Source organism: Homo sapiens, chromosome 5 (genome assembly GCF_000001405.40).
Source record: "Homo sapiens chromosome 5, GRCh38.p14 Primary Assembly".
NCBI lineage: Eukaryota > Metazoa > Chordata > Mammalia > Primates > Hominidae > Homo > Homo sapiens.
In genome coordinates this window covers 163,175,267-163,188,197 of record NC_000005.10, presented here as the reverse complement: position 1 = coordinate 163,188,197, position 12,931 = coordinate 163,175,267, and the positions used below count along the sequence as shown (strand labels likewise).

General features: G+C 37.2%; 1 long non-coding RNA gene across 2 annotated transcripts in view, besides 1 other annotated feature; it reads left to right on the top strand.

Annotated features, from left to right (window-relative positions):
• Window positions 1-12,931, top strand: part of LOC105377700 (uncharacterized) — a 348,217-nt gene that overhangs the window by 249,125 nt on the left and 86,161 nt on the right. The gene's annotated exons all lie outside the window — the stretch shown is intronic.
• Window positions 8,825-9,564: an enhancer, noted in NCBI's record as "NANOG hESC enhancer chr5:162605640-162606379 (GRCh37/hg19 assembly coordinates)". NCBI's record gives its function as "activates a minimal SCP1, AML or CMV promoter by ChIP-STARR-seq in primed H9 embryonic stem cells {active_cell/tissue: H9 hESC(primed)}" and the evidence as "EXISTENCE:reporter gene assay evidence [ECO:0000049][PMID:30033119]".

Below are 12,931 nucleotides of genomic sequence, written 5' to 3'. Positions count from 1 at the left end.
ATCTCAAGGAACTAGAGATGACAAATTTTCAGAGACATTCTTTTATATATATATATATGTATATCAAAAAATATATATATATATTTTCTTTTCTTTGTGTACTAGAGATTTCACAGCAACAAGCTTATTATGACCATAACTAATGAACACAGACAGGGTTAAGAAAACATTCAGAATATAAACAAGTTACTAGTTCATTGCAACCTATTGATAGCTACTCACCTCATGTAGAAGTATGAACATATATATGTAAAAACAAATAGAAAACATTCTGCAGATTTTGAACTGCAAGATGGTTTAAATGTTGGCATATACATGAATCAAATCAGTTTTGTTTTTCCCTCTATTGGAAGGTGCTATCATAAATAGCATTTGGCTTTTCTTGATAGGTGGTTAATTTTAAGTAGAACACTGAAAAGGAACACATTTATGTGTGGTTGATTCAATTTACTCAAATCTAATGAAAAGATATGTGCATTTCCATTTCTTTAATATCAACAGATATAAAGTAAATGGTAAATATAGCTAAAACAATTTAAAAACTCCTTTAGTGGGTCTTTAGAAGCTGAAACTGCAATATGTATGCTGTCTTACTATTTTAAAAATAACTTATCTATTCAAATATTCTCTACAAGTTTGTTATTCACTCCAATGTGAATTTTAAAGATATATACATATGGATATCAGACATTCTTACATTTAGTGGGAAGCAAAAGTTGGTTACCTTTATTATCTCTTAAAACTTCAAATTCTACTGATTATAACCATTACTTACCTAACTTATAAGATAAAGCACTTTTAGTAACCTTGCTTGAAAATGAATGAAATTCTTATTTTGCTACACAGATCATCTCATTATTCACCATTTTCCTTAAATAATAATTTGGTTTTGGCCTACAAATAGAACGGAATTCTCATTATTAGAGTCTTACTGTCTTTTAAAATTCCATTTGTGCTACTCTCTTGTAGTTGAGATAAAATGCAGAATTAAATTTTGTATCAAATTGGATTAAAGATGTTAATAACTTCCTCTTTGCCTCCACAACCACCTTCAGGGGACCTGTCCTGCCACTGGAGCCACAAAAAGAAGCTCTTTGAGCTCTAATACCTTCACCTCCAGCCCCTCTGCTCTAATTTCTACTTCAGACAGCTCCTCTAGGGAACCAGGAGTGGATTCCTGACCTCAGTTGGGCCAATCCGATCTGGACCAGAGAACTGAGGTTTTTGTGGGCAGCTAAGCTAAACGCCCCAATGCATTCTGGTGTTGAGTTCTTATTTCAAGATGTCCTAGGTAAGAAAATATTGTACTGTGGACCAAACTTACGGGAAGCTGGTTTAAAGAATGAAAGAGGCACACCGATGCACAAAGACAAGTAGAATTCATCAGACATATCCTCCTCATTACTCTGTAGTCCCCACCCCAACACCCTCATGTAACTAGCAGCTGTTTGTTTTTGCTTTTTTTTTTTTTTTTTGGTTTTCTGGAGGCCCTGCTGTAATTCTTACAGTGAGACTGGTTGAGAATAAAATAAAACCAATTTTTACTTGAAGTATATCGAGTGGTTTCTATGCCTTGCAATCAAATGGGTCCTGTATAAGATGGACAAAAAAATGATTATTTATTTTCAGTCCTTAGTAAGAGTGAATGCTCTATCAACCAAGGACTGTTTGATATGTACTTGATGTAGGACAAGTGTACCTCAAAATTGGGGCTTAGCCTGGGAGGGTTCTTGGCTTCACCCAGGAAAGCAAGGGTGAGCCAGTGGTGTTAGACAGCAACTTTTATTGAAGCAGCAGTGTACAGCAGTAGCAGAGGTACTGTTGCTTGTGCAGTAGGGCTACCCCATAGGCAGTATGCCCAGAGTAGCAGCCCAGAAGCAGTTCTGCAGCCATACTTACACCCACTTTCAATTACATGCAAATTAAGAAACAGACTATGCAGAAATTTCTAAAATAAGTGTGGTAATTTTCAGGTTGTTGCCTTGGAAAGGGGTGGTAACTTCCAGGTATTGCCATGGCAATAGTAAACTGACATGGCACTGGTTGACATGTCTTATAGAGAGGTGCTTTCATCACTTCCCTGTTTTAGCTAGTCTTCAATCTGGTCTGCAGTTCTGGCCCCACCTTTGAGTTAAGTCCTGCTTCTTACCTCATGCTTAAAGCTAGTAAATTCTGTGTAGTGAATATATGTTGTTTTCGCCTGTCCAGAACCTAATTTCCATCTCATAATTGCCATTATTTTGATAACTGTACTTTTATTTTCCTTTTGGCAAGTATCTCTTCTCACTTTTTAACCCACATAATTTGGATAAAGTTGACTCCTATCTCCAGACTTTTCAGAATTGGGTATACTATTGGGTAGGTACATGGCACTCAATTCCAGGAGTATGTAAGAATGAAGAATGTACAGTTGAGAGAGAGAAGCCAAGGGGAATGTAAGCTTGGAGGTGCTGAGAGCTTTCAATTGGGAAGAACTCATCAAATGATGATGCCAACACAGAGAGAAACTGTGCAAGCTGTAGAAGGGTTGATCTCTGACAACATTGTTGAAGCGCTTGGATCCAGCTGTGCCCAAGGAAGAATGATTCATTGAATTCTTCAGTTTTTGAAGCCAATAACCCTTCCTTCCTCCTGACCCGCTAACACAGTTTGAGTTGTTTCTGTCACATGCAACTCATAATGTTGACCAAAATACCACGTGGAAATAACATGGGAAACAGAAAACCTGACCTGGAGTCTTCTCCAAAGTAATTTACCATGTAGTAGGATAAAGAAGATAGATAGGCATGCAATAACTAAAAAACAGTATAAAACACATTATTAGATGTCAGACTGTGAAATAGTCTAAACATTATCTCATGACATACTTGCGGTAGACAATATGAAATTTCTACTTAATATGTAGAGCCTCTATTCAACCTTAAGTTACTTATTTGACATTTGAAATTGCTGCCCCAGCTTCAGAGTCAATAGATATGAAGACAAAGTACCTGGAATGTGGCACAAAAGCACATGTATTTTGCATCAGGTAAATATCCTAAGGAAATATAAAGAAAAATAATAAAATTGCTTGCATTTTGAATTAGATAAATATAATAAGAAATTGTAAGAAAATTAAACAAACTGATACTTCCACAAATAGCAAAAACAGTAACACAAATAAAAAAATTAAAATGAAAAGTAGAGTAAAGAAGTATGTTTCTTTTTTTTTTTTTGAGATGGAGTCTCGCTCTTTCGCCCAGGCTGGAGTGCAGTGGTGCGATCTTGGCTCACTGCAATCTGCGCCTCCCAGGTTCAAGTGATTCTTCTGCCTCAGCCTCCTGAGTAGTTGGGACTACAGGCGCGTGCCACCGCGCCTGGCTAATTTTTATATTTTTTAGTAGAGACAGGGTTTCACCCTTTTGGTCAGGCTGGTCTCAAACTCCTGACCTCAAGTGATCCGCCCACTTTGGCCTCCCAAAGTGCTGGGATTACAGGCATAAGCCACTGCGCACCACCAAGAAATATGTTCCTAAAACTGACTATGTTAACATTTTCCTTTGGTTCTTAATTGCCACTTGGAATTCTCTTGTCTATGTTACTGTCTACCACATCTAACCTAGAAAGTAAATCCATTTCAAACCTCCCTGATTCCAATTTACTTTATTCATTCTTACATATACAGGTAGGCTTGTGTGGCAGTCATGTAGAGCAGAACAGAAACAAGTCTGGTTGAGCCCTGGAAGTTTTTTTTTTGGTGTTTCTAATTTTTTTTTTAAATTATTATACTTTAAGTTTTAGGGTACATGTGCACAATGTGCAGGTTAGTTACATATGTATACATGTGACATGCTGGTGCACTGCACCCACTAACTCGTCATCTAGCATTAGGTATATCTCCCAATGCTATCCCTCCCCGCTACCCCCACCCCACAACAGTCCCCAGAGTGTGATGTTCCCCTTCCTGTGTCCATGTGTTCTCATTGTTCAGTTCCCACCTATGAGTGAGAATATGTGGTGTTTGGTTTTTTGTTCTTGGGATAGTTTACTGAGAATGATGATTTCCAATTTCATCCATGTCCCTACAAAGGACATGAACTCATCATTTTTTATGGCTGCATAGTATTCCATGGTGTATATGTGCCACATTTTCTTAATCCAGTCTATCATTGTTGGACATTTGGGTTAGTTCCAAGTCTTTGCTATTGTGAATAGTGCCGCAATAAACATATGTGTGCATGTGTCTTTATAGCAGCATGATTTATAATCCTTTGGGTATATACCCAGTAATGGGATTGCTGGGTCAAATGGTATTTCTAGTTCTAGATCCCTGAGGAATCGCCACACTGACTTCCACAATGGTTGAACTAGTTTACAGTCCCACCAACAGTGTAAAAGTGTTCCTATTTCTCCACATCCTCTCCAGAAACTACCATCAGAGTGAACAGGCAACCCACAAAATGGGAGAAAATTTTCACAACCTACTCATCTGACAAAGGGCTAATATCCAGAATCTACAATGAACTCAAACAAATTTACAAGAAAAAAACAAACAACCCCATCAAAAATTGGGCAAAGAACATGAACAGACACTTCTCAAAAGAAGACATTTATGCAGCCAAAAAAACACATGAGAAAATGCTCACCATCACTGGCCATCAGAGAAATGCAAATCAAAACCACAATGAGATATCATCTCACACTAGTTAGAATGGCAATCATTAAAAAGTCAGGAAACAACAGGAGCCCTGGAAGTTTTAAAAGAACTCCATGAATAGGTTTTTGGTCATCTGTGATTCTCCAGATACTGTTTGTTGAATTTGGGGTAAATATGCATTTTTTCCCCTAAAAGAATTCAAACTTTTATCAGTCTCTCAAAGGAATCTATGACCCAGAAAATGTTATAATTTCCTTCCAATTTAGAGTTATCTATAAGAAATTATTTCTCTTAGTTACATATTAATGTATGATATTATATTAAATTATTGGCCTGTTTAAACTATGAACAGTCCTAATATCCTAAATAAATCTTAGAATTTAATACATTTTTCCCATGTAAAACATACCCATGCAGACCTCAGCCTGTATTCATTCAGGTTCAGTCAAGTAATATTTGTTTCCATATGTTTAGCTTAATAATGTATAACAGTATTACCAGTAGCAAAATTATGTTTGATCAATGTACATTTATTAACTATTCCTGCTCCTTTGTGGATGTTAGCTTTATTCTTCTTGGCTGTTTTCCTCCATTTTTCAGGAACAAGATTTCATATAGCTCTTGACCCACACATCTCTCAGCTTTTACACTATTAAAGTTCTATTTCTTTTTGAAATAAGCCAGGCACAGAAAGATAAAATTTCTAGTTCAAAAAAAATCCCAGGGAAAGTATTTGGTTGGCCTCACATGCCTTCCACTGGTTTCCTGTGGCCAAGGGAGTAGATACTATAGTTAGCAGCTCTAATTAGAACATGTTTTGAGTGAGAAATGAAGATAAAAGAGCATCCCCTCCCCAAAAAGTCCATTATTCACAGGAGATACTTGGTATGGTGGGAAGATAATAAATACTGGCGGGAGAAGTGTGTTCTAGGAAGTAAAATGAAATATGCTACAAATATTTGAAATAGCATGGAAAGGTGATAGTTCAGTTTGAGCAACAGGTTCATTCTGGGATATAAGAAACATAGGTTAGAGAAATAGGCAAGGACCAGGTTGGGAGAACTATGTATATTCTGGTAAAGGATTTAAGTTGTATCCTGCAGGCCACTATGTTGTAAATATGGCAGCAGACTCATAGGGTGGAGGGGGATTTGTTAAAATGCAGATTCACAAACTCAACACTAAACACAAAGAATCCAAATAACGGGGCGCCTGAGAATCTGCATTTTTATTTTTATTTTATTTATTTGTTTTAATTTTCCTTTAAGTTCTGGGATACATGTGCAGAACGTGCAGGTTTGTTACATAGGTATACATGTGCCATGGTGGTTTGCTGCACCTATCAACCCATCATCTAGGTTTTAAGCCCCACATGCATTAAGTATTTGTCCTAATATTCTCCCTCCCCTTGCCCCCCACCCCCTGACAGGCCCTGGTGTGTGATGTTCCCCTCCCTGTGTCCCTGCGTTCTCATTGTTCAGCTCCCACTTATGAGTGAGAACATGCGGTGTTTGGTTTTCTGTTCCTGTGTTAGTTTGCTGAGAATGATGGCTTCCAGCTTCATCCATGTCCCTGCAAAGGGCATGAACTCATTCTTTTTTATGGCTGCATAGTAGAGAACCTGCATATTTAAAATACACCTTGTGTAATGCTTATATACCCAACTAAAGATTGAGGGTCGCTGCTAAGGAGAATAGAAAACTATTCTAAGTAGTGGAGGAACAATACAGCATAAACTAAAATATCTGTTGATATGGCTACGGCCTCCAGATCAATTAGAGATTGCTGTATGCCAGTGTGTGTGTTTGAGGAGCCTGTGGGGTGCATCTCCTGTATGCACATCTTAGAGTGTTTTTGTTCCAGTTAAATATTTCCAGGAAGGCATCGTGCAGTGGAGTAGAGTTTTAAACATGAAGATGATAGTAAAATATCTCCATTTTAACTTACTCAATGAAAAAGTCTAAAAAAAAAAAAAAAGAAAACCTTGGATCCCCACAAGCATGAAAAATTACTAAATAAGACAGAAAGATTCTGAATGACACATTAGTGAAGGGGGCTATCATGCCCCCTATATCTAGAGGTGTACTGCTAGATCAGCATATTCTCTTTAATAAGGAAAGTTTAAGTGTAAAATTGTTATCCAGTTTGCCTAGGTGTTCTGGTTACGTTCATCAGTTAATTTTATTTATCAGTATCTGTGAAGTTAGGAAAGGGTTTTTGCTACATTTGTTCTTGCCTGCCAATGCAGAGAAGATGGATGAGGCCCAAGAAGTAGGACAAAGGTTTGCATTGGGGATTTTTATAAATTAGCTTCATTATTCTCTGGTGAACTTGGGGACAATTGCTTAGAAAACTGTCCTTTCTTCCAAGCTATTAAAAGTGATTCTCCTAACCATTTCAGGCAATCTTTCTTGCTAGCAGAAATCCAGCAGAATAATTTTCTCATGAGAGTGGTAAACACACACACACACACACACACACACACACACACACACAATGCATTCTCTAATGTTTGCTAGAATAAACATATATGATTTCATGGTTAAGTAGCAAAAGCTTTGGCCCATGGAAGGAATGCTTAAAAGTTGGCTTATTTAATGTGGAAAAAGGTAGCAAGTTAAATGTTTAAATTTTTTAAAATTAATTTTATTTTTTTTTATTTTTCAGCACCTAGTTTAAAGACTTATAAAGTTCTACAAAGCTATTGGAAGAATATCTATTCCCAGGCTCTCCTGCCCATTTCTTGCATTCCGGAAGCAACCATTTTCAACAGAATTTTGTAGAAAGCACCTGTACATTTCTGAGCAACAGCTTATGGCACTATTCATTTTGTTTTAACCAACATCTACTAACTTCTCACCATGGAGGAGGACAATTTACCTCTTCTTCATCACCTTTCCCTGCACAGGCATGCATAAAAACATAACCTCTCATTCAGCCAAAATATTTATGCCATTATTTTGAGTAGACCAATTTTCAGCCTTTATGTTTACTATGATCTTGTAAATTCTAGTCACAACAGTAGTATGTTCTGACCACTACTCATTTGTTGCATAACTTCCCATTTTTCCTTAATTGCTAATAGTAATGTTTTTTTCATATATGTGTGTGTGTATATATATATATATTTTTTTTTCTCACTTCTCTTACATTTTTCTATATCTCCTTTCAGCCTGCTCAAACACATCAGGTATTCTGACACTTCTACCTTCTTTTCTTTTTTTTTTCTTTTTTTTTTTTTTTTTGAGAGAGAGTCTTGCTCTGTCTCCCAGGCTGGAGTGCAGTGGCGCCATCACGACTCATTGCAACCTCCGCCTCACGGGTTCAAGTGATTCTCCTGCCTCAGCCTCCTGAGTAGCTGGGACTACAGGCGTGTGCCACCATGCCTGAGTAATTTTTGTGTTTTCCTTAGTGACTGTATTCGTTTACATTCTCACCAGCAGTGTAGAAGTGTTCCCTGTTCACCACATCCATGCCAACATCTACTGTTTTTTTGATTTTTTGATTATGGCCATTCTTGGAGGAATAAGGTGGTATCACATTGTGGTTTTGATTTGCATTTCCCTGATCATTAGTGATGTTCAGCATTTTTTCATATGTGTGTTGGCCATTTGTATATATTCTTTTGAGAATTGTCTATTCATGTCCTTAGCCCACTTTTTGATGGGATTGTTTATTTTTTTCTTACTGATTTCTTTGAGTTCACAGAGCAGTCAGGCAAGAGAAAGAACTAAAGTAAAGGGGAAATCAAACTGTCACTGTTTGCTGACAATATGATTGTTTACCTTGAAAACACTAAGGACTCCTCCAAAAAGCTCCTAGAACTGATAAAAGAATTCAGCAAAATTTCTGGATACAAGATTAATGTACACAAATCAGTAGCTCTTCTATACAGCGACAGCGACCAAGTAGAGAATCAAATCAAGAACTCAACCCCTTTTACAATAGCTGCAAAAAAACCCAAAAACAAAAAACAAAAAAACAAAAAAACCCCTTAGGATTATCTAAGGAGTCAAAGACCTCTACAAGGAAAACTACAAAACATTGCTGAAAGGAATCATAGATGACACAAACAAATGGAAACACATCCCATGCTCATGGATGGGTAGAATTAATATTGTGAAATGACCATACTGCCAAAAGCAATCCACAAATTCAACACAATTCCCATCAAAGTACCACCATCATTCTTCACAGAATTAGAAAAAACAATTCTAAAATTCATGTGGAACCAAAAGAAGCCCACATAGCCAAAGCAAGAGTAAGCAAAAAGAACAAATCTGGAGTCATCCCACTACCTGATTTCAAACTATACTATAAGGCTGCAGTCACAAAACAGCTTGGTACTAGTATAAAAGTAGGCACATAGACCAATGGAACAGAATCGCAAACCCAGAAATAAACCCAAATACTTACAGCCAATTGATCTTCGACAAAGCAAACAAAAACATAAAGTGGGGAAAGGACACCCTTTTCACCAAATGGTGTTGGGATAATTGGCTAGCCACATGTGGGAGAATGAAACTGGATTCTCATCTCTCACCTTATACAAAATCAACTCAAGATGTATTAAGGACTTAAACCTAAGACCTGAAACTATAAAAATTCCAGAAGATAAAGTTGGAGAAACCCTTCTAGACACTGGCTTAGGAAAGGATTTCATGACCAAGAACCCAAAAGCAAATGCAATGAAAACAAAGATAAATAGCTGGGACCTAATTAAGCTAAAGAGTTTTTGCACAACAAAAGGAACAGTCAGCAGAGTAAAAAGACAACCCACAGAGTGGGAGAAAATCTTCACAATCTATATATCTGACAAAAGACCAATATACTTCTTATACTTTTCCTTGGAATGGTATTAATGCTGTTAATATATATGAAAAGTATATTGTGCTGTGTATTTAGGTATTATAGCTCTGTAAACGTGTCTCTAGAAGGTCTTTTTGGAAGTTTTAAACTTTTATTTAGGATAATAATATGTGACATCTGATTGAACAGTGAACTGCATATGGAAGTAATTGTCTAGAGGGCTTAATTAGTCAGTATTACAGAAATTTTAATTAATTCAGTATATATATATATTTTAACTTTGTTTTGCAAAGCTTTTTTTATTGGTAGCATTTTAGGAGCCATAACTGACAAGGAACAGGATTTTTAGTGTACTGCCTTTTAGAAGACAGTAAGAACAAATTATTATTTGGGGCTCAGGCTCACAATTTCAGGTAACGACAGAGGCCATCTGGTGTAAGGAACTGGTGTTAAGCTGCTTATTTTATGACCATTCATGACACTTGCCCACTTATATGACTCTCTCTGTCTTCTTAGTGTACTAGAACAGAATACCAATACCACAGACTGGGTAGCTTAAATGGCAGATGTTTATTTCTCACAGTCCTATTGAGGTTGTAAGTCTGAGATCAAGGAGTCAGCCAGCATGGTCACGTTCTTGGTGAAAGTCCTCTTCCTGGTTATGTCTTCACGCCAGCTTTCTTTCCACACACCATGAAATAGATCCCCTGTCTATTCCTTTTTAAATTTTTATTTAATAAGGACACTAATCTCATTATGGGGACAAACCCTTATGATCTAACCTAATCTTGGTTACCTCCCACAAACTGCTTCTCCAAATACCATCACATGAATTTAAAGGGAAACAAATATTCAGTTCATAGCAATGACCTTTGCTTTATTTTATTTTTAAGCCATTTGATAGACCATTGTATTCATTAAAAAATAATATAAACCCAAACAAAATGAACTTTGTCCTTAAAGGAACTATCTAACCCACAATTTCCACAGACTGCTAATTTGCTATTGCCCTTGAAAGCAGCAGCTGGGCTAAACACCATGCATTCTAGAGATTTTTGCCAAGGGTTCCCTGCATTTGATCCATGCTTTAGGCTGAGTAGACTTAAGAGGATTACAATCACTACAGCCTTATTCTTCTTTGAAAATAAATGAATCAAAAAATTGGGTTCATTTATCCATAGATCAGAAGATTCAGGATCTTGCCTCAACCCTCTTGTTGAATAGCTGTGTGTTCCTGGGAAACTACCTTCTTTTAAGGCTTTATCTGTAAAATAGAAATAATGCCATCCTGCTTTCCCTCACAGGATAATGAGAGTCAAATAAAATGATATAATGGAAGTACTCAAATGAAATATATAATCTGCTTTACAAAGGCAATGAGTTATTATTTAAAAGAAAGTGCAGTAGGTTATATAAAAATAAGTATAGAATATATCATTGCCTCCAAGATTTTAAAATCTAAGATAATATATGAGCAGGAACATAAGTGCTCCCTGCACATTTTATTGTAACTGGAGAAAATTGTGAAATCTGGATATAAAACAAGTGTCAAGATTCTGGAAATGTGCCCATCTACAGAAGAGCTGTTGCCATCATGTAGAATGATGATTCCATTTAAAATTCTGATAACTGCTATTACAAGTGACTTTTTTTTGGAGGGCATTATTTTCTGCTCTTTTTGCTTGTTCATACTAGGTAAGTAGCAAAATTTGGGCACGGTGGCTCACACCTGTAATCCCAGCACTTTAGGAGGCCGAGATGGGCGGATCACGAAGTCAGGAGATCGAGACCATCCTGGCTAACACGGTGAAACCCTGTCTCTACTAAAAATACAAAAAATTAGCTGGGCGTGGTAGCGGATGCCTGTAGTCCCAGCTGCTCAGGAGGCTGAGGCGGGAGAATGGCGTGAACCCGGGAGGCAGAGCTTGCAGTGAGCCGAGATTGTGCCACTGCCCTCCAGCCTGGGGGACAGAGCAAGATTCCATCTCAAAAAAAAAAAAAAAGAAAGTAAGCATGTACTTTTGTGAATCCCTAAATGAAGTGAAGTCATCAGGAAAAGAACAGCTCTTTCAGAACCTCTCTTTGGGCGTTTCTGTTGTGACCCGGTCTTCACTTAGAGAGCCTCAGATGAACCCAATGAGCCACCTTTGGTTTCCTAGCCTGTGCAGTGCAGCCCTCCTCCTCTTTCACATCAGGTGGACATCATGATCTTTCAGGTTGCCATCACATCCATCTCCTTTGGCAGCTTTGTTCTTGTTCTTAAGTCTTATTGGTTGGTTCCTTCACATACAAAAATATCTAGGTAGAATTATTGCTACTGTGGTGGAGTGATTTGTCAGCCTTTATTTAAACCTAGTAAAATACCAAAGAAACAAGTGAAAGAGGGTCTGTGGCTTAAGGATTTCTTATCTGAAGGTTACCAGTGGCTTCTTGTGCTCACTTCAGTTCATAGTGTTGGCAAAGATTGACAGCATGTGAGTGTATTTATTTCAGTTTTCTTATAGTGGATTTTATATATTTATCTATGCTGATGAATGGGGTGCTCTCTGTCTAGGTGCCCAACATTTGGTATTTTTTAAAAGGATTTACATCTTTGGGTAGAAGTAATGGCCCATCCTGTCATAAATTCCTAGACATTTAGCACTGCTGTGGTGCATATGTGTGTGTGTGTGTGTGTGTGAGTGACAGTGGGCAAAGCGGCCTATGTAATATTGCAGGAGCATCTCTTAACAGAAGAACTAATGTAGGGGACCTGTGAACCTCCCTTTCCCAATGTGTGCACCTGGCTTCAGATTCACCCATACAGCTGAGGTTAGCAGCAGTCTTTCAGCAGATTGGGTAATGCTTGGTGAAACTCTTCATCATTTACAGTGTTTATTTTCTCTCCAAAGCATAGCCTTGGAATTAGACAAATCTTAAGTTCAAAATTGATTGCCATTTGCAACTACGCAACCTTGTATATATTACTTAACCTCTCGGTGTTTCAGTTTCTGCACCTGTAAAGTGAGGATAGTAACCTGACACAGGTTTACTGTGAGGTTTAGGTGTATTATGTGATATATGAAAGACCTAAAATAGTACCTGACATGTAGAAGGAACTCAGTAAATATTAGAGATCCTCTATCCTTTTGTCAATCATTTTTATCCACTTGTGTTCATTCATTATAATAGCATTAGACATATCTGTTCAAAATTCCCATTAGTCAGTATTTTACTTTACAGGATTTTGCAACCTCGATTTCTCCAGAAACTTTACGTCTTTCTACATCTCAGGTATTCATCTTGGAGACTCTTAAAAATAACTCTGGTTAGTAAACTTAATAAAAGAAAAGTTTTTTAAATAAATCTCTTTTGATGAGACTTTTTGGATTATAGTAAGAATTACCTGAGGATAAAATATTAATTTGGTTTTAAATCAGTGCATTGCAATGATATATGTTGATATTATTAAACTCAACTTTCCCCACTCAACTTTTTCACTTGGGG